This window comes from Homo sapiens, chromosome 2, assembly GCF_000001405.40.
Source record: "Homo sapiens chromosome 2, GRCh38.p14 Primary Assembly".
NCBI lineage: Eukaryota > Metazoa > Chordata > Mammalia > Primates > Hominidae > Homo > Homo sapiens.
The window spans coordinates 88635205-88658625 of NC_000002.12; the positions used below are offsets into that span (position 1 = coordinate 88635205).

Consider the following 23421-nt stretch of genomic DNA (forward strand, 5'->3'; position numbering starts at 1 on the left):
GGGTCCAGGAATCTGCAGTTTTAACAAACACTCTAGGAGACTCTTACGTATACTAAAAGTGGAGGAACATGGCACTTTGGACTTAATATGTTTGATAAATTGTGGATTTTGTGAAATTCATAATTTTTCTATATGCCTATAATTTATTTACATGTGCATAGTTTATATCAGTAATTCTTTACATTGAAGTGCTACTTGAGAGTCCATTATCACTCCCAGCAATCCCCCACCAATTCAGAGGCCTTTAATTTCTCCTTTACGATGTACTAGAAAATTCTTCCTGGCCATAGCAAACTCATCTCAGATGTTTGCAACTTGACTGTGGGTCATGACCACTTCACTGTAGTCACTGCACAGAACTCCTAGACACAGCCCCTAAGTAGGAGGCTGCTCTTCACCCACAGCTTCCAACCAAACTTTATTTTCTATACCCACCACACAAGACTGCATGTGCAGATCAAACTTTGCTGAAAGGATGGGCTAATTAAAGCAGGAACTCCCAAAATTAATGCTGCCCTTGGGGGTCCCCTCGCATGCATGCTTCTATTCCTAACCCGGCTTTCTGTCCTCTATTCTTCTGTCTTGGATACATTTACTTTCACTTCTTTTCACCTTCTTACCCACAGAAATTGGTCTCAGCCCAGGACTCACTGCCTCCCCCATTGTATTTGTCAGCTATTGTCACAATAATCTTTATAACAAACTACCCTAAAACTTTAACAATAATTTGTAATACTATTTGTTTAACAATAGTAATGTATTCATCTTCATAAGTCTGCATGTCATTTGGGGCTTGGCTCCAAACTAAGCTGGACCCAGGTCTACTCCACTGGTCTCTCATCCTCCTTGGAAGAATGGTCTACCTGGAGCATGTTCTTCTCATGGCAATAATAGAAATACAAGAGGGCAAGGCCTGCCACACATATGTATTTCAAGTCTCTGCCTTCCTATGTCTATGAAAAGCTCTGTAGCCAAAGTATGTCACATGGCCAAGTTCAAAGTGCAGGGATTGGAAAGCACACTCCACATACCATGAGGTCACAGCTAGAGTGTGGATGTGTATGCTGCCACAGGGGAGAGAAGCATTGTGACCATACATTCAGTCAGCCATACCCGTCATGAGTATTTCTCTCCTGTCTGAGTAACTAAGTCTAGAGAAATGCCTTGGTGCTTCACAAGGACAGTAATTGATAATTATAAACCCTTGAATTTATATAGTCTGGTCCAGTCCTGGGCCAATATGGATGATCCATTCTGTTCCTTTTGGTGAGTGCTCCAAAAGGGGGATTTGCAAGCATGTATGCATAAATGCAGAAACAAATGCTAACACATGTGCCTGTGCACACTTATATACATGAGCATGTGTACATGTGAACTCTTAAGTACAAACAAGAGGATTTTCCTAACTGCTTTATAAATTGCAAAGAATTCTATTTCATAATGATTTCAGGACTTCACATTGTACTGAGAAATATCAGTGCCTTTTCTTCAAACTTGCCTCTTCCTTCTTCATAACCAAACTCCAGGAGCCAGATCTCTGGACCTCTAAATAGCAAATTCTCTTAAATGCACAAAGCCCCTTGCAAAGCTTTGAAAATGCCGCTGTAAAATTCTTACCCAAAGTCTTCATTACTTTCATTTTCTGTCTAGGGGGAAGAGAGGGAGTAATTTTATTTTTCCAGTTGTTTGTAATTCTTCAAATTCAGGAAGAAATAGAGGCAATGTAGAGCATAGCACTGACCCTGGAACTGCCAAGTAACTCGCCGTGTGCTCTGAAAGAATCTGCTTCTCCTCTCTAAGTCTCACAGTGTTTTAGGTGGCATCTTGGACCAGGCACTGCCTTGGTTACTTATACCAGGGACTCTCAGCGGCCATTTGTACCGGGTGGACTCTGAAGTCAGTTTCTTCCAGTGTTCTCAATGGGCACTTACACCAAGGGCTGTCTTTAGTCACTTCATTTCCATTTTCTATAATGTTCTGCCTCTTTTCTCTGTAGAGAATGTTTACACAATTTTATAATCAGAACAATCTAAACAACCAGGTGGCAATAGTAAGCACAAATGCGAAGTATCACTTTGTATCACTAACAATAGATGAAATTATTTCATATGGTGGACATCAGCATATTCCTAATGGTCAGCAAGTATAGAATAAGATTTCAAATTTCTTATGTTTTTATTTGGATGATTTTTAAAAAATATAATGTAATTATAGGATAGTCTGGCTAAACCCTTTTGGCATTTCAGGGCCAAAACTTGCATTTGTGTCTATCAAACCAGCACCAAGTAATGCTATCTTAATTGTTACAGGCAACTGAGAAAAAGTAAGATGCATATTTTATATAAATGATTCATTGCTACCAAATAAATGTCAAATGACTGGTATCCTCTAAAAGCAAGTGTTACACAGTGGTTCAAATAAAGAAAAGTCGTGGGAGAATTTAGTCCTCACATAGAATGTAGTTTTGTCAGTGGGCCAGATTGAAAACAACCTGTCTTAGCTGTCACTATGGTATTTGTTTTCAGAGTAGTGCTGTAGTTTCATTAAATTATCATCTGTTGGGCATCAGCTACCAGTACTGACATGGTCGCTGGTTTTAGACCACATATCTCACTGAGATTGACTGTTAAGTTAGATTAAAAAAAAAATCTTTGAAGGTATCAGAAAGCAACCACAGCATCCAAGACCTGAGGGGCTAAGAATGAGAAAGAAACAAAAAGCAATTAGATCAGGGTAATACTCCCTACCATTTTCTCTCTTGAGACATTTAATGAATTATAAGCAAAAAGTGCAGGGTCTAGGGCCATGCAGGAAGGTGCAGCTTAGAGAGCTTTTAGGAGTCTTATAAGGCCACAGAGACAAAATGTGGAGTTCAGGGCTAGCAAGAAAACCAGCATTAAAAGGTTAAAGATCCCATAGAAAAGCGAATGGCTGAAAAGTGAGACTGATAGTTTTTTTTCCCCCCATTAAGGCAGTTGCTGGTTCCTAAGTCATTCAAATAAGAGAGATTAAAAAACAAAAAAACAAACAAAAACTACGTAGTGAGAGACAGGTAAGAAGCTAAAAAGTGAAAGTCTCATTGTGCTGAGGAGTCAAAAATTGGAGGTCAGTCTAGCAAAGAGTTGAAGCTTTGAAAAATACCTCCACACTTTCAGCTGAGACTTCTGACAGACTGCAGATAGGAGTAAGGGCAAAGCAGAAATAAACTAGCCTCAAAAAACCTAAAACCCAGCCTCAAAGTATCAAATTACCTAATTGGATTAGGGTGATCTGCCCCTACTCTGTCTGCCAGAAGAAAATTAAATTGTCTTTGAAGAAGGAAAACATCACACAGAGCTTCTATAATTTTTCATATACAATGTCTAGCATCTGAGTAAAAATCTCTAGGTAATGTCAATAAATAGAACCAAGTGACAGAAAATAAAAAGTAAAAAACAGAAACAGATTAGACTTAGAGAAGATTGAGATATTGGTGTTATCAGACACAGGCTATAAAATAATTGTGGTTATTTTATAATCATCCTTAAAAAAGGATAATCATCCTTAAAAAAGATGACAAAATGGAGAATTTCATCAAAGACCTGCAATCTATTCGAATCTATCAGAAACTTTTAGAACTTAGAGATAAATTAATTGACATACAAATGATTCATAAGCACATAAAAATGCTCAACATCATTAGTCATTGGGGAAATGCAAACCAAAACCACAATGAAACACCACTTCACACCCACCAATATGCCTAAAATAAAAAAGGCAGTAACAAAGTTTGGCCAGGATGTGGAAAATTTAAACCCTCGTACCTTGCTGGGGGTGCAAAATTGTGCTGAAACATTGAAAAACAGTTTGGCAGTTTATCAAAATGTTAAACATAGTTACTATATGACCCAGAAATTCCACTCCTTGGTACATACCCACGAGAATTGAAAACATATATCTACACAAAAACTTGTACAGCAATGTTCATAGCAACATTATTCATAATAGCCAAAAAGTAGAAACAACCAAAATGTCCATCAACTTATAAATGGATAAGCAAAATGTGATACATCTATACATGGGAATACTATTCTGCCATAAAAAGGAATGAAGTACCAACACATGCTGCAACATGATTGAGCCTTGGTAACAAATGCCAAGTGAAAGAAGCCAGTCGTAAAAGGCTACCTATTGTATGATTCCATTTATATGAAATGTCCAGAATAGGCAAATCCACACAGACAGAAAGTAGTGTTTAGTGGTTGCCAGGGTCTGGGAGAGGAGAGAATAGGGGATGACTGCTAATGTGCTTGGAGTTTCTTTTGGGGATGATGAAAATGTTCTGAAATTAGATAGTGGTGATGGTTGTATGACTCTAGGACTATACTAAAAAACTACTGAATTATACACTGTAAAAGATTTCATGGTATGTGGATTTAGTTCCCAAACGCTATTATTTAATTAAAAGAAACAATTAATTAATTAAAATTAAGAATTTAGTACATGGGTTTAACAACTGCTGAGAGAATTAGTGAACTGGAAAACTTCTCAGGAAAAAAAAATTCCAATTGAATCACAGAGAAAAAATATAATGGAAAATGTAGGGAAAAAACATAAAAGATACAGGGAACATTGTGAAAAGGTTTACATATGTGTAATTGGAGTCTTCAAGAAAGAGAGAAGGCAGAAGAAGTATTTAAAGAAATACTAACAATTTACAAAAAATTGGTTTAAAAAAACCACAGATTCAAAAATTTCTTTGAACACCAGGCAATTTAAATACAAAACAAAACCACATGTTGATCCATCTAGCGAAACTGCTGACAAACAAAGATCAAAGAGACATTCTTAAAAGAAGCTCTGGGGAAAAAATACACATTGCCTTCAAAGGAGCAATAGAAGGATTGACAGATGCCTTTCTACTAGACAAAGAAGTGACATTGTAATGTGCAGAAAAAAATAAACTGACAACTTATAATACTATACTCAGTGAAAATGTCTTTCAAAAATGAAAGCAAGAAAAAGACATTAAAAAATAAACCAAAGAAACTTGTTTCCAATTGGCTTACAGTAAAATAAATACTAAAGGGAGCTTTTTAAATGGAGGGAAAATGGCCCAAGATGGAAATTTGAAAATAAAGGGGAGGAGAACTGAAGATTATTATGGGAAAGAGTCAATTTATGAGTAAAGTGGGGGAGGGAAGATGGTCCACTAGACACAGCCAGGTAGAACAGCTCCCACCAAGGGACTGAGACAACTGGCATGCTCCTAACAGATCTTCAGAGGGAAGGCACTGAGAGTGGATGGAGGGAAGACACAGAAGCTGGGCTGAAGCAGGAGAAAGCTGGGAATCCTGTATAGGGCCAGGAACACCGGGACTTGTTCCTGGCGCCCAATGGCTCTGGGGAAATGAGTGAGTTGAACTGGCAAGGAGGAACCTGTTCTTGCCATGGGCCTCTGGAACCCTGGCAGGAGAAGATACCTTGACCACCACTGACACTCGAGTTGGCAGGGAGAGCTGCTTAGAGAAGTGGTAGAGGCAGCACACCAGCTGATGTGGAGCCCAGAGGGTTTGATGTGGGAGCGTCTGTAGTGGAGTACAGCTAGGGACGGCTATCCCCCTAGGCTCTCCTTGCTCCCATAGGAGACGTTAGTTCTAGGGGAGCTGTAGAAACTGAACTCTGCAGGGTGATCTTGCCGATCAGATGGAGCCAGTCCAACTTGAGCGCTCCTTGGTATGCTGGCCTCTCCCAGGGCCCCAGCCTGTTCACACCTGCTTGTAGGGCAGTCTAGGGTGCCCTGGGGGGGTATCATACCTTCTGCACTTGTGGACCATGCTTGACCAGTGGAGAGCTACGATGGGGTGGCCTGTACGGCCACACACCAGCCCACACGCTCCCTCCCCATACTGTAGCTTCCTGTGGGCCCACCACATCTCCCAACATAGCTTTGCTGGTGCATGACTGCACACGCAGATTTTGCTTTCCTTGCCCCACCAGCATGGGGGAGTGCAGTCTCTCACCCCCAGCCCCCGCCGTCACCAACCATCATTGCAGATGGAGCCTTGGTGGGCACAAAGCCAGCCAGCCCCACCTCTGTCAGTGCATCACCCTTACGCTAGCATTGCATAGAGAACAGCGGGTCCTCCCCAGCCCTGAGCAACCACTCCTAATTGTGGAGCATAGAGAAGGCACCCAGACCTGCGCCCACCAGCGTCCCACCCCCAGCGAACACCACCTCCAGTGCGACTGCCCACACAGTCACCAGCACAACCACCCCCCTACCCTGCCCTCCTGCCCTAGCTGCATTGCCTCTGCCACTGTGTGAACACCCACAGAGGGGCAGGCAACCTGGCACCTGCTAGCACTCTGACACAGCTGCCACTATGAGGTCAAATCTCACTGTCACCCCGCTACGAAACACTTTGGCTGACACCACCTATTGCAGTGTAGTGACGAGTGGTCCAGGGCCACCATGGCCCCTTAGCACAGTGAATTCTTAACCCCAAGGAGTCAGAGAACAAAGCCAGGGCCCAATACAAGTCCTCCAGAGTTAGAGCACACAGTCCAGGAGCTGGGAGCTGAGCATTGACCCTCTAAAATCTTCTGAAAATGAAGCCAGGCCGAGTGTGGTGGATCATGCCAGTAATCCCAACACTTTGGGAGGCCGAGGTGGGCGGATCACTTGAGGAGAGGAATTCGAAACCAGCCTGGCCCACATGGTGAAACCTGTCTCTACTAAAAAATACAAAAAAAAAAAAAAAAAAAACCCAAAAAACAGTTAGCTGGGCGTGGTGGCGGGGCGCACTTTAATCCCAGCTACTTGGGAGGCTGAGGCAGGAGAACTGCTTGAACCCAGGAGGTGGAGGTTGCAGTGAGCCAAGATCACACCACTGCACTCCAACCTGGCTGACACAGCAAGACTCCATCTCAAAAACAAAAACAAAAACAAAAACAAAAACAAAAACAAAAACGAAGCCAGTCAGCTGAATCTACCTTATACAACAATCAAACCCTCAAGGTCATCAAATAGGATAAAAGAAAAAAAATTTAAAGGTCAGCAAACTCAAAGATTGAAGGTAGATAAGCCCACAAAGAAGAGGAAGAACCAGTGCAAAAACTCTGACAACTCAAAAAGCCAGAGTGCTTTCTTTCCTCCAAACAACCACATTGTCTCTTTAGCAAGTGTTCTGAACCAGGCTGAGATGGCTGAAATGTCGGAATATGGATAGGAATGAAGGTCACTGAGCTACAGGAGTTGAAACTCAACTTGAAACCCGATACAAGGAAGCTAAAAATCATGATAAAACAATGCAGGAGCTGACAGAGAAAAGAGCCAGTATAGAAAAGAATGTAATCGACCTAATAAAGATGAAAAACTCACTATGAGAATTTCACAATGCAATCACAAGTATTAATAGCAAGAAGAGACCAAGTGGAGGAAAGCATCTCAGAGTTTGATGACTGGCTTTCTGAAATATGACAGTCAGATAAGAATGAAGAAAAAAGAATAAAAAGAAATGAACAAAACCTCCAAAAAATATGAGATTATGTAAATAGACTAAATCTGTGACTCATTGGTGTACCTGAAAGAGATAGGGAGAATGGAACCAACTTGGAAAACATATTTCAGAACGTCATCCATGAGAACTTCCTCAACCTTGCTAGAGAGGCCAGCATTCCAATTAAAAAAATCCAGAGAACCCCAGTAAGACACTTCATAAGAAGATCATCCCCAAGACACTTGATCATCAGATTCTCTAAGGTCAAAATGAAAGAAAAAATTTTAAAGGCAGCTAGAGAGAAAGGTCAGGTCACCTACAAAGGGAATCCTATCAGCCTAACAGCGATCCTCTCAGCAAAAACCCTACAAGCCAGAAGAGATTGGAGGCCAACATTACATTCTTGAAGAAAAGAAATTCCAACTCAGAATTTCATATCTGGCCCAACTACACTTCATAAGTGAAGGAGAAATAAAATCCTTTTCAGACAAGCAAATGCTGACAGAATTTGTTACCATGAGACTTGCCTGAAGAAAGCACTACATATGGAAAGGAAAGACCATTACTGACCACTACAAAAACACACTGAAGTACACAGACCAGTTACACTATAAAGCAACCACATAAACAAGTCTGCAAAATACCCCACTTACATCATGATGACAGGATCAAGTTCACACATATCAATACTAACCTTCAATGTAAATGTGCTAAATGCCCCAATTAAAAACACAGAGGTCAGGTGCAGTGGCTCACCCTATAATCCCAGAACTTTGGGAGGCCAAGGCAGGCAGATCACTTAAGGCCAGGAGTGTGAGACCAGCCTGGCCAACATGGTGAAATCCCGTGTCTATTAAAATTACAAAAATTAGCTGGGTGTGGTGGTGCACACCTGTAATCCCAGCTACTTGGGAGGCTGAGGCATAAGAATTGCTTGAAGCCAGGAGGTGGAGGTAACAGTGAACCATGATCACACCACTGTACTCCAGCCTGGGTGGCAAAGCAAGACTCTGTCTCAGAAAAATAAAAAAAGACACAGAGTGGCAAGGTGGATAAAGAACCAAACCTGGCTGGGCATGGTGGCTCACACCTGTAATCCCAGCAATTTGGGAGGCTGAGGTGGGCAGATCACTTGAGGTCAGGAGTTTGAGACCAGCCTGGCCAACATGGTGAAACCCTGTCTCTACTAAAAATACAAAAGTTGGCTAGGCATAGTGGCATGCCCCTGTAGTCCCAGCTACTCGGGAGGCTGAGGCAGGAGAATGGCTTGAACCCAGGAGGTAGAGGTTGCAGTGAGCTGAGATTGTGCCACTGCACTCCAGCTTGGGCCACAGAGTGAGACTCTGTATCAAAAAAAAAAACCCACAAAACTTTGGGAGGCTGAGGCAGGTGGATCATGAGGTCAGGAGATCGAGACTATCCTGGCTAACACGGTGAAACCCCGTCTCTACTAAAAATACAAAAAATTAGCCGGGCATGGTGGCGGGTACCTGTAGTCCCAGCTACTTAGGAGGCTAAGGCAGGAGAATGGCATGAACCCGGGAGGTGGAGCTGGCAGTGAGCCAAGATCATGCCACTGCACTCTAGCCTGGGCGACAGAGAGAGACTCCGTCTCAAAAAAAAAAAAAAAAAAAAGTAAGAAACAAGACCCTTTGAGATGCTGTCTTCAAGAGACCCATCTCACATGCAGCAACACACATAGGCTTAAAATAAAGGGATGGAGAAAAATTTACCAAGCAAATGGAAAACAGAAAAAAGCAGAGGTTGCAATCCTAGTTTCAGACAAAACAGATTTTAAACCAACAAAGACTGAAAAAGACAAAGAAGGGCATTATATAATGGTAAAGGGTTCAATTCAACAAGAAGATCTAACTATCCTAAATATATATGCACCCAACACAGGAGCACCCAGATTCATAAAGCAAGTTCTTAGAGATCTTCAAAGAGACTTTAACACCTCACTGACAATATTAGACAGATCAAGACAGAAAATTAACAAAGATATTCAGGACATGAACTAAGCATGGGATCAAATGGACCTGATAAATATCTACAGGACTCTTTACTGAGAAACAAGAGAATATACATTTTTCTCTTTGTCACATGGCACATCTTCTAAAATTGATCACACAATCAGAAGTAAAAACACTCCTCAGCAAATGCAAAATAATTGAAATCATAACAATTCTCAGACCATAGTGCAATCAAATTAGAAATCAAGATTAAGAAATTTACTGAAAACTATACAATTACATGGAAATTGAATACCCTGCTCCTGAATGACATTTGGGTAAGTAATGAAATTAAGGCAAAAATCAGAAGTTCTTTGAAACTAATGAGAACTAAAATACAACATACCAGAATCTCTGGGACACAGCTAAGTCAGGGTTAAAAGGAAAATTTATAGCATTAAATGTCCACATCAAAAAGTTAGAAAGCTCTCAAATCAACAGCCTCACATCACAACTAAAAGAACTAGAGAACCAAGAGCAAACAAATTCCAAAGCTAGCAGAAGACAGGAAATAACCAAAACCATAGCTGAACTAAAGGAAACTGAGACAAAAAAAAAAAACATTCAAAAGATCAGTGAATCCAGGAGCTGGTTTTCTGAAAAGATTTATGACATAGATAGACCACTAGCAAGATTAATGCAGAAGAAAAGAGAGAAGATTCAAATAAACAGAATCAGAAACGACAAGGGGGATATTACCACAGACCCCACAGAAATACAAACAACCATCAGAGAGTATTATGAACACCCATATGCACATAAACTAGAAAAACAAGAAGAAAGGATAAATTCCTACGAACATACACCCTCCCAAGACTGAACCAGGAAGAAATTGAATCCCCAAACAGACCAATAACAAGCTCTGAAATTGAGTCAGGAATAAATAGCCTAACAACAACAAAAAAGCCAAGGACAAGATAGATTCACAGCTGAATTCTACCAGATATACAAAAGGAGCTGGTACCATCCCTGCTTACACTATTCTAAGAAATTGAGGAGGAGAAACTCCTCCCTAACTCATTCTATGAGGCTTAGATCATCCTCATACCAAAACCTGGCAGAGACACAACAAAAAAAGAAAACTTCAGGTCAATATGCTTGATGAACATCAATGCAAAAATTCTCAACAAAATACTGGCAAACTGAATCCAGCAGCACATCAAAAAGCTTATCCACCATGATCAAGTAGGCTTTATTCCCGGGATGCAAGGTTAGTTCAACATATGCAAATCAGTAAATGTGATTTATCACATAAACAGAACTAAAGACAAAAACCACATGATTATCTCAATAGATGCTGTAAAGGCTTTTGATAAAATTCAATCATCCTTCATATTAAAAAATCTCAATAAACTAGTTATTGAGGGAACGTACCTCAAAATAATAAGAGCCATCTATGACAAACCCACAGACAACATGATACTGAATGGGCAAAAGCTGGAAGCATTCCCCTTGAAAACTGGCACAAGACAAGGATGCCCTCTCCCACCACTCCTATTCAACATAGTATTGGAAGTTCTGGCCAGGACAATCAGGCAAGAGAAAGAAATAAAGGGCATCCAGATAGGAAAAGAGGAAGTCAAACTATCCCTGTTTGCAGATGACATGATTCTACATCTAGAATATAGTCTCAACTCAAAACCTTTTTTTTTTTATAGACAGAGTCTCACTCTGTTGCCCAGGCTGGAGTGCAGTGGCACAATCTTGGCTCACTGCAAGCTCTGCCTCCAAGGTTCACACCATTCTCCTGCCCCAGCCTCCCGAGTAGCTGGGGCTACAGGTGCCCACCAACACGCCCGGATAATTTTTTGTATTTTTAGTAGAGATGGGGTTTTACCATGTTAGCCAGGATGGTCTCGATCTCCTGACCTCGTGATCCGCCCGCCTTGGCTTCCTGATGTGCTGGGATTACAGGCATGAGCCACCGCGCCCAGCCCAAAACATTCTTAAGCTGATGAACAACTTTAGCAAAGTCTCAGAACACAAAATCAATGTACGAAAATCACTAACATTTCTGTACACCAACAACAGTCAAGCCAAGAGTCAAATCAGGAATGCAATCCCATTCACAATTCCCACCACAAAAATAAAATACATAAGAATACAGCTAACCGGGAAGGTGAAAGATCTCTACAAGGAGAGCTACAAAACCTTGCTCAAAGAAATCAGAGATGACACAAACAATTGGAAAAACATTCCATGCTCATGGATAGGAAGAACCAATATTGTTAAAATGGCCATACTGCCCAAAACAATATACAGATTCAATGCTGTTCCTATCATTTTTCGCAGAACTAGAAAAAAACTATTTAAAAATTCATATTAAACCAAAAAATAGCCCAAATAACCAAAGCAATCCTAAGCAAAAGGAACAAAGCTGGAGGCATCACAATACGTGACTTCAAACTATACTACGGTAACCAAAATAGCATGGTACTGGTACAAAAACAGACACAGAGACAAATGGAACAGAATAGAGAACCCAGAAATAAATAGAAAACCCATTCCATACATAGGAACAGGCAAAGATTTCATGAGGAAGACACCAACAGCAATTGCAACAAAAGCAGAAATCGACAAATTGGATCTAATTAAACTAAAGAGCTTCTGCACAGCAAAGGAAGCTACCAACAGAGTAAACAGACAACCTATAGAATGGGAGAAAACTTTTGCAAACTATGCATCTGACAAAGGTCAAATATCCAGCATCTATAAGGAACTTAAGCAAATTTATAAGAAAAATACAAACAACCCCATTACAAAGTGGGCAAAGGACATGAACAGACACTATTTTAGAAAGGACATACATGTGGCCAACAAGCATATGAAAAAAAGCTCAACATCACTGATCATTAGATAAATGCAAATCAAAGCCACAATGAGATACTATCTCACACCAGTCAGCTTGGCTACTATTAAAAAATCAAAAAATAACAGATGGGGGTGAGGTTGGGGAGGAAAGGAACGCTTATATACTGTTGGTGGGAGTGTAAATTAGTTCAACCATGTGGAAGACAGTGTGGTGATTCCTAAACACAGGTTTAGCTATAGAACAAACCTGCACATGTACCCCTTAACCTAAAATAAAAGTTAAATTTAAAAAAATTTAGGAGTAAATATAAGGAAAACTTATTGTTTTGTAGAGTACTAATGTCTTTGGGAATTTTAAATATGCATAATATTGAATGTATGTAATCTTAAAATATATAACTATATGCCTGTAATCCCAGCACTTTGGGACACCAAAGTGAGTGGTTCACTGGATCACTGGAGATCGAGATCAGTTTGGCCAACATGGCAAATCCCTATCTGTACTAAAAATACAAAAATTAGCCGGGCGTGGTGGCGTGCGGTTGTAGTCCTAGCTACTTTGGGAGACTGAGGTGAGAGGATCACTTTAACTTGGGAAGTGGAGGTTGCAGTGAGCTGAGATCTCGCCATTGCACTTCAGCCTGGGGGACAGAGTGAGACTGTATCTCAAAAAAAAAAAAAAAAGAAATATATATATAATTACAACACAAAAGGTGGCAGTAGTTAAAGTAGCGAAGATCTTTGTGTTGTCTGGCAAAGTAGAGTACTAATTTATATTATACTGTAACCAGTCAGGAATAGGAATGCATGTTGTAATTCTAGGGTAATCACTTAAAGAATTATAAAGATTGACTGGATACGGTGGCTCACTCCTGTAATCCCAGCACTTTCGGAGGTGGAGGTGGGAGGATCACTTGAGTCCCCAAGTTGAAGACCAGCCTGAACCACATAGTGAGACCCCTGTCTCTATATTTTTAATAAATAAAATTAAAGAAAAAATTATAAAGACTGTATAACTACCAAGCTAGTAGAGTGGAACAATGAAATAATAATAAAATGTAATTTTACCAAAGCAGACAAGAAAGGAGAAAAAAAAGGACAAAAGAGCAGGTGGGATAAGACAAAAAGAATAGTTAGCTGTAGTTTTGCTGTTGTTGTTTGAGATAGGGTCTCACTGTGTCACCCAGGCTGGAGTGTAGTGGCATGATCACGGTTCACTGTAGCCTCAACCTCCCAATGCTCAGGTGATCTTCCTGCCTCAGCACCCCCCGCCCCAAGTAGCTGTAACTACAGGCATGCATCAACATGCCCAGCTAATTTTTGTATTTTTACTAGAGACGTGGTTTCACCATGTTGTCCAGGCTGTTCTCGAACTCCTGGGCCCAAGCAATCCACCTGCCATGGCCTCCCAAAGTTTTAGGATTACGGATGTGAGCCATTGCACCCAGCCATATGTAGATTTAAAACCCTAATGTATCAGTAATTACATTAAACATACATGGAGTAAGTACTCCTCTTAAAAGTCAAAACTTGTCAGACTGGATAAAAGACAAGACATATCTTAATGGTGTATTTGCAAAAAGATGTACATGTAAACAACAGCAAAAAGAAAGCTGATGCAAGCCAGACATGGTGGCTCATGCCTGTAATCCCAGCACTTTGGGAGGCTGAGGTGGGTGGATCACCTGAGGTCAGGAGTTCAAGACCAGCCTGGCCCACATGGTGAAACTCCATCTTTACCAAAAATACAAAAATTACCCGAGCATTGTGGCACACACCCTGTAATCCCAGCTACTCGGGAGGGTAAGGCAGGAGAATGGCTTGAATCCAGGAGGTGGAGGTTGCAGTGAGCTGAGACCACACCACTGCACTCCACCCTGGGCGACAGAGGGAGACCCTGTCTCAAAAAAAAAAAAAAAAAAAAGAAAGAAAGAAAAGAAAAGAAAAGAAAGAAAGCTGATACAATCATAATAATATCTGTCAAAGTTTTGTGTGTTTTTTTTTTCTTTTTAGGTAACAAAGTCTCACTCTGTCTCCTAGGCTGCAGTGCAGTGGCCCAGTCATAGTTCTCTGCAGCCTTGAATTCCTGGGCTCAAGCCATCCTCCCGCCTCGGCCTCTTGAGTAGCTGGGACTACAGGTGTGCACCACCATGCTCGGCTAATTTTTTTTTATCTTTCATAGAGACGGGGTCTTGCTGTGTTGCCCAGGCTGGTCTTCAACTCCTGGACTCAAGCTGATTTTCCCACCTTGGCCTCCCAAAGTGCTGGGAATACAGGCGTGAGCCACTGCACCTGGCCCAAAGTCGATGTTCTAAATGACTCTTCAAAATTTTTTAAATAGACTTTATTTTTAGAGCAGTTTTAGGTTTATAGTAAAATAGAGTTGAAAGTGCAAAGATTTTCCACAGACTTCTTTTCTCCAGCAACCTCCACTATCAACATCCCACACCAGAGTGGTATATTTGTTGCAATTGTTGAACCTACATTGACACATAATTATTATCCAAAGCCCATAGTTTACATGAGTTCACCCTTGGTGTTATACATTTTATGGGTCTGGACAAATGTATAATGACATGTATCTACCATTATAGTATCTATCATACGGAATAGTTTCACTCTCCTATTCATCCCTCCCTTTCCCCTAATCCCTGGGATCCACTGATCTTTTTAGTGTCTCCATGGCTTTGTCTTTCCCAGCATGCCCTACAGTTGGAATTATATACTATGTTGCCTTTTCAGACTGGGTTCTTTCACTTAATAGTATACATTATAGTTTGCTCCATGTCTCTTCATGGCTTGATAGCTAATTCCCTTTTTTTTTTTTTTTTTTTTTTTTCTGAGACAGGATCTCACTCCTGTTGCCCAGGCTAGAGCACAGTGGTGCAATCATAGCCCAGTGAAGCCTGGACTTCCTGGGCTCAGGTGATTCTCCCACCTCAGCCTCCTGAGTAGCTGGGACTTCAGGCATGTGCCACCATTCCTGGCGAATTTTTTGTATTTTTATTAGAGATGAGGTTTTGCCTTGTTCCTCAGGCTGGTCTCAAACTCCCGGGCTCAAACAATGTGCTTGCCTTGGCCTCCTAAAGTCCTAGGATTACAGGTGTGATCCACTGTGCCTGGCTCATTTCCTCTTAATGGTGGGTAATATTCCATTATTCGGATATACCATAGTTTATCTATTCACCTACTAAAGTACATCTTGGTCTCTTCCAAGTCTGGGGAATTATTAATACAGCACACTGCTCTGGCAGCATCTTTAGGCACTCATTACCAAGCGTGATGTTCCAGAAGAGGATCGTGTACAAGGGAGCGATTACATGTTTAGTCTCATAACTCCCTCCAACTTGGCACAAGTCAGAACATTAAAAAAACTAGAGATGGGGTCTTACTGTGTTGCCCAGGTTGGTCTCAGACTCCTGAGCTCAAGCGATCCTCCTGCCTCCACTTCCCAAAGTGCTGGGATTACAGATGTGAGCCACCATGCCTGGCCTTTAGAACATTTAAAAAATGTGTTTATGTTCATCTTCAGTGTCTCTTTTTAATTCACTCTAATTTTCTACAATGAACATACATTACCTGTGTATTTTGAAGTTAAAAATGGGCTGGGCGAGGTAGCTCATGCCTGTAATTCCAGCACTTTGGGAGGCCGAGGTGGGAGGATCATTTGAGGTTAGGAGTTCGAGACCAGCCTAACCAACATGGTGAAACCCCATCTCTGCTAAAAATACAAAAATTAGCCAGGCGTGGTGGCACATGCCTGTAGCCCCAGCTACTTGGGAGGCTGAGGCACAAGAATCGCTTTTACCCGGGAGGCAGAGATTGCAGTGAGCCGAGATCACTCCAGCCTGGGTGACAGAGCGAGACTCCATCTCAAATAAATAAAAAAACAAAAACACAGTATTTGTGGCACCTCCTACAAGAAGTCTTCCTTGACCCTCTCCCCACCTTTCCATGGTAGCTTTGTTCTCTTCTCTTAGTTTCTGTCAAATGCATGCTCACCACTAGCAGAGCACTTACCATAAGGTATTTTATTCACCTACTTAAATACCTGCCTTCTTCTTAGGCTGTGATTTCCTTAGGGCAGGTGCTATGTCTTTCAAAATTGGGTACCTAAGGGCCTAAAGGGGGCCTCGGGCAGGAGCTTTGATCTTTTCATCTCCTTTAAGTTTTCTGACTTTGACACCCAATTTGGTCAACAACCAAGCCCATAAGACCTATTCTCAGAGAACACAAAGAAAGCTTCTTCTCTTCAGTTAACTTACATGCCTTAATAAGCCCTGAATACACAACACCATGAATATGAGAAAACCAGGGCTCCAAAGGGACTTGATTGGCACAGTCATCTCAGGAATGCTGTAGGTCAAGGCAGGTCTTCAGGCAGGTCTACTTAGGTAAGAGGTATATTTCTCTGAAATGAAATGTAAAGAGGGTTGGCAGGGATTAGGACTGGAACTAGACCTCAAGACTAGGAGGCAGGAAGGCTATGAAGGCATGAATGCTTCAGAAGACAGATGGATAGAGGCGGGACAGAGCATCACACAAGTGCTGAACTTACACAAATTCAACTAGATATGTTTGGCAGAGAGGAAGGGTGGATGAGGGGAAAAGCAAAAGTGGGAAGGGTGGAGAAATGAGATCTAAGAGAAATAACCATTTAATGGGCAAGTGGCTCATGCCTGTAGTCCCAGCATCTTGGGAGGCTTAGGCGGATGGATCACTTGAGTCCAGGAGTTCAAGACCAGCCTGGGCAAAATGGCAAAACTCCATCTCTATGAATAATACAAAAAATTAGCTGGGCATAGTGGTGTGCACCTGTAGTTCCAGCTGCTCAGGAGGCTGAAGTGGGAGGAGCACTTGAGCCCAGGAAGTGGAGGTGGCAATGAGCTGAGATTGCACTACTGCACTCCAGCCTGAATGACAGAGTGAGACTCTGTCTCAAAAAGTAAGTAAATAGGCCAGGCATAGTGGCTCATGCCTGTAATCCCTGCACTTTGGGAGGCTGAGGCGGGCGGATCACGAGGTCAGGAGATCAAGACCAGCCTGGCTAACATGGTGAAACCCCGTCTCTACTAAAAATACAAAAAATAAAAAAATAGCCGGGTGTAGTGGCGGGTGCCTGTGGTCCCAGCTACTCAGGAGGCTGAGGCAGGAGAACGGCGTGAACCTGGGAGGCGGAGCTTGCAGTGAGCCGAGATCGCGCCACTGCACTCTAGCCTGGGCGACAGAGCAAGACTCCGTCTCAAACCAAACCAAACCAAACCAAACCAAACCAAACCAAACCAAAACAAAACAAAACAAAATAAAAAATTAGCCAGGAGTGGTGGCACACATCTGTGATCCCAGCTACTCGGGAGGGTGAGGCAGGAGAATCATTTGAACCCGAGAGGCGGAGGTTGCAGTGAGCTGATATCGTGTCACTGCACTCAGGCTGGGTGACAGAGCAAGACTCTGTCTCAAAAAAAAAAAAAAAAAAAAAAGCAAAAAAGTAAGTAAATAAAATAGATTTTTTTAAAAAAGAAATAAGTATGTAAATAATGCAGGTTTCTATATCCTTATTAATGTACAGGTTATTCTACTTAACATTCCACTCAGGGTTGCCTCTGATAAGCTTGAGAAGGAAGAATTAACATCAATTTTACCTTTAGTGTGGTGGGATTCAGCCTTGACTGCACTGGGATGAACAGGTGGGCTTTAAAAAAAAAATGCAGGTGCCTAGAACCCACTGTCAGAAATTCTGATATAATCAGTTAGTTAGAGGTATGGCCTGAGCACCAGGATTGTAAAGGCTTCCCAGGTAATTCTGATATGCAGCTAGAGTTGGGAATCTCTGCAGCTGGTCTTGGGTTCTAACTCACTGTTCCTAGTGTGACTTCATACTGTGCTGAGTGTGATTCTAGTGTTTAAAGATACATATTTGTCACTCAAAATGACCCCCAAACTTAAGCCTGTAACTTCATCTGGTGTTCATCTGAGGAAACAACAATCTGTTTCAACGTGGACCATGTTTGACTTATTAAGAGCTTATATATCTCTATACTGTTTTTGTGGTATTTGAGGGATTTTTCAAAGGTGATTTTTAAATCCATTTATTACTCCTTACTCCTTCCTCCTACCTCCATATAGATACTACTTTTATTAGAGTCTTGTGACATCTCCCAGAACTTCTTTTTTGGGGGAGGCGGGTGTGGAGATGGCATCTCAGTCTGTTGCCCAGACTGGAATGCAGTGGTGTGATCTTGGCTCACTGCGACCTCCGCCTCCCGGGTTCCAGCGATTCTCCTGTTTCAGCCTCTCGAGTAGCTGGGATTACAAGTGTGTGCCACCACAACCAGCTAATTTTTGTATTTTTAGTAGAGACAGGATGTCACCATGTTGGGCCCAGCTGGTCTTGAACTCATGACCTTAAGTCATCCACCTGCCTTGGCCTCCCAAAGTGCTTGGATTACAGGCATGAGCCACCATGCCCAGCCCCCAGAACGTCTTTATACAAGTCCAGCTAATGAAAATATTTTTTATTTTTTCTGCCTCTTTGCACAAATATTAACATATTTTTGCACCTTTTTTTTTTAATGTAAGAATATTTAGGCATCTTAGCACCCAGATTGTAAACATTAAATACCAGTTTTCACTTAAAGGAACCATGAATTCTTGGAGAAACTGCTCATTCCAGATTTGGATAGGAAATACACAAGATGATTCAGGAATAGCTTGTCTCCTAAGAAAGGAAGAAAGCTCTCAAAGACCGGTAGAATCATATGTAAAGATTTCAGGTTTCAAACTGTAGAGGCTCATCATGGGCAGCAACAGCATAACATGGACACTGACAGATTAAAAACCATCAATTATGTTTAGTTTTTAATTTTTTGTTTGTTTGTTTTGAGACAGAGTCTCACTCTGCTGCCCAGGATGGAGTGCAATGGGGTGATCTTTGTTCACTGCAGCCTCTACCTCCTGGGTTCAGTTCAAGCGATACTCGTGCCTCAGCCTCCTGAGTAGATAGGACTATAGGCGCATGCCACCATGCTTGGCTAATTTTTGTATTTTTTGTAGAGACGAGGTTTCACCATGTTGCCCAGGTTGGTCTTGAACTCCTGAGCTCAAGAGATCTGCTGGCATGGGCCTCCCAAAGTGCTGGGATTACAGGCGTGAGCCACTGCGTCCGGCACTCATCAAATATGTCTAAGTCCTTAATTTCGTAATGATATTCAAAAATATGTCATCTTTGGAGGGGTCTAGAGGACATCATTAGTTTCAAAACTGGAAAATAAGAGGGTGAATCAAGCATTTCTATACAAACTATAGCACTGAGTCATCAAGTATTATGTGGTGAGTTTCTCTTTATAGAAATACTCCAGCTAATGAAGAAGGAATGACAGAATATCACTGCTCTGGACCCTCATGAATTAATGGACAAAGGGCTGAGCCAGTGGCATCGCAACAGAGAGGCAGCATGATGCAATAGACCTCTTGAAGTACACAACACCACTTATGAAGTCATCTTACTACCCCCCAAAAAGGAAAAACAGAGAACCCACGTTGGATTACATCTGTAGATACAACTACCAGTTCATGGGAAAGATAGAGAACAGAGGAATATTTTAAACGACTGTACAAAAATGCGTAAACAAAATCCAGACTATGAGAAACAAATAATTACTAAGAGGAAAAAAGCAACGGAGAAGAATCCCATAGATTAAAAGAGATTTAAGAGATACTAACCTGTTGCAGTGTATGCAACTGTGAAGAAAAAAAGTTGACACAGCAGGCCTGAGACTGCTATTCTTGGAAAGGTCCCCTTGTAAGGTTAGCCATTGGCTGGCATATGGAAACTTGGAGTTCATGAAGTTTCCTACCAACCCCTACATGATAAGAGTGGCTCATTGTGCCTAAACCGTTGTGCAATATGGTTTATGGTGAATACCTGCTTTCCTTCTGGACACTAAATCATTAACGAGATTCCCTGGTAGACAATACTTCACACGCTTGTCATGATTTGATGCTAAAGGAATTAAGTGAATCTACTGTGACTCCTCTGGGAGAGGACTCTTGGAAGCTTAAGTCTGGCTTACTCTGGGCTTTACCCCATGCACCTTTTCTCTTTGCTGATTTTGTTTTGTATCCTTTCCTTGTAATAAATCATAGTCATGAATATAGGTCCTGTGAGTGCTTTTAATGACCACCTGAAACTAGGGGTGATCTTGGGGACCCTGGACACAGCACCTTAGTTGGAATTTGAGTCAAACAAATGAAATCATGGAAATTTGAACTCAATATTAATGATACCAAGGAATTGTAATTAATTTTCAAGTGTGATAATAGTATTATGATTATGTTTAAGAGATATGTATATTGAAATTATTGTGGGTAAAATAATATGGCTGAGGGGCCAGGTGTTGTGGCTTATGCCTGTAATCCCAGTACTTTGGGAGGCCAAGATGGGCATATTGCTTGAGATCAGGAATTTGAGAACAGCCTTGGAAACATGGCAAAACACTGTCTCTACAAAAAATACAAAAATTAGCCAAGCATGGTGGCCTGTGCCTGTGGTCCCAACTACTTGGGAGGCTGAGTTGGGAGGATCAGTAAAGTCCAGGTGGCCAAGGCTGCAGTGAGTCATAACTGCACCACTGCCCTCCAGCCTAGGCAACAGAATGAGACTCTCTCTCTCTCTCTCTCAAAAAAAAAAAAAGAAAAAATATATATATATATTTGCATCATATATATCAAAACACATCATCTATATTACATATAGATGATGTTAGAGGTTTGCTTCAAAATAATCTGAAGAGAAGGGTTGGATGTGGGTAAGGGTATAGATGGAAAAAGATTGGCCATGAGTTAATGGCAGTTGAAGCTGGGAGGTGTGTCTATGGGGCTTCATTGTGCTATTTTGGGTTCTTTTGTACATGTTTGGAATTTTCCACAATAAAAAATTTTAAAAAGATAATGTATCTTGGAAATCTTTCAGTTCCAGCTCACAGAAAGCCTCCTCATTTTTTTCACTGCCGTAGAGCATTCCATTGCATAGGGTGGTTTCAGTCCTTCAGTCCTATGTAGGTTTGCCTTAGTTCTGTCTTTAGAATCTTACTCTCATTTCACGTGCGACTCCAGTTGGAACTGATTTTCAGCTGAGCTCCTGGAGGCTTGGCCTAAATTGCTAAAATAAACATTAATCTAAAAGGCCTATAGTGTCAGCCATTCCTGACCAGGTAGAAAATATGGTGATTCCTAGATGGCATCCTACTTGAGGCAAAATGAGCTGGGACAAGCTGTGGTGTAGAGGGAGATTGTTGTTGTCACAAGAGACCCGAGAGAGTCAGAGCCGTCCAGAAGCATTGGTCTGGAGTGGACTGAATGTGAATGTGAGTCAGCAGCACTATCCTGCCAGGGGCTCCAGGCCTTTGAGAAACTGGAGGAGGTGAATTGCCCAGCCGGGGGACAACAAGGCTGTCTTTCCATGGTGTTCTGATTCTGTGGCTGGTCATACTTTGTTCTATCTTAGGATAATTGTCCCTAAGGCTTTGAGGAATATGTCAGTTCAGACTCTTCTGTGGCAAGCCACAGAAACCAACTCTAACCATTTTAAAGAAAAATTTTAGGGATATATTGTTGTTGGAAGGATATGGGATAGCTCACAAAATTAAAGAAAAAGCTAAACAACCAAGCCTCCAAAAGTACAAGAACCAGAGCAGCTTTGGAATATAGGAAGATAAATCTCTCAAGAGTGAATCACCTCAATTTTCTTTCCTGGGGCTACACTATCAAAGTTTACATTCCCTGGAGAGATGGACTGTTGACCTAGCTTGGATTGTGAGTCTATTTCTAGCTAGCGGAGGGCAGGGCCCTTGGTCAATAGTCCCCTCATGACTACACAGAGTGGGTGGGGAGGGGAGTGTTCCTAAGGGAAATTGGGGTTCCTTTATCAGCTAAATTGGGAGATGGATGCTAGGCAGAAAGAAACAACAGATGTCTACTACTGAGAAGAGGAAGAATTCTGGGGCGGGGCCTTAGCATGGGCAGTTATGGAGCTGGGGTTCCAGAAAGACTAGGTGGGCCTTGGAGGGTAACCTGGGCCCTTGACTTTTTTTGGTTGGTGAAGCCTGAGAAGCAAAGGCTACATTAGAGAAATAGAGGACATTTGACTGGCCAGCTTTTTCTGTTCAACAGAGATAAAACTCCTCAGACATTAAAAAATATACTTGAAACTAATAAGACAGAACAACATGAAAGGTTTCTGGACAGGAGGATGTGCAGTAACTCACAATACCTCAAGGCAAGAGAAGAGCTCTGCTACCTGCTCCTGCCAAAGAAGGTTCCATACCTTGGCCTAGTTACAAAGGACTATGTTTTTTGCTTTGTTTTGTTTTTTTGTCCTTCCCATTTCACCTGCACCACCAACTCACTATTTCAGAGGCTCGTGTTGCCCATTGATAATTATTGCATTGTGATGCTGAATTGTGAAAATATAGCATAGTACCACTTCTGATCATAAAACCAGATATATTAGAGAAACATTCGGTGAATGTTAAGGAAGTTACTAAATATTGGAGTAATTTATCCAGAAAGCCACAGAATTTTCTTCTTGGATATCTTTAAATACACAATAAAATAAATTCTAGCTAAATAGCAAATTCAAGATGACTTTTCTGGGTGCCTCCTGTATATTTTTATAATATATACAGGAAAATATACTTATATTTTATTATATTTTTATTTATTTTATATATATTATATGAAATATAATATATTATATTTTCCTAAGGTCCTTTATTCTCTTAAGAGCCAAAATGTAAAAATAGAAAGTATAATGTGCCTTTCATTTATAATTTTGATGCCACTTTGGGCACTTTGCATAATTTCTTGTTTTTGCATTCTGAAGCTTGGTTGCCAAGATCTGGAGAATGGATGGCTGTTATTATTAGTCATCAGTTTTCAGAAAGATCGAAAATCTTTGGCAGAGTGGTTATGAGAAGGCAAGGAGACAGCATTTTAAAATTCCAATCTTGCTTTATTTGCAATCATCCTGAGTCACTGTGGCAAGATCTTGGCTTTTTTAGAAAGCTCAACTTCTTTATCCGTTTCCTCCTTATCTCTTCTCTTCCTATGACATCTAC

The 23421-nt window shown here is 41.3% G+C and overlaps 1 long non-coding RNA gene across 1 annotated transcript in view; it reads right to left on the reverse strand.

The window, feature by feature from the left end:
* Positions 1-16005: 16005 nt before the first annotated feature.
* The window catches only part of LOC102724805 (uncharacterized), a 40267-nt gene continuing 32851 nt past the window's right edge, over positions 16006-23421 (reverse strand). Inside the window, exon 3 of the long non-coding RNA XR_940345.3 lies at positions 16006-16715. This is a non-coding gene — a long non-coding RNA (uncharacterized LOC102724805). The remainder of the gene's footprint in view (positions 16716-23421) is intronic.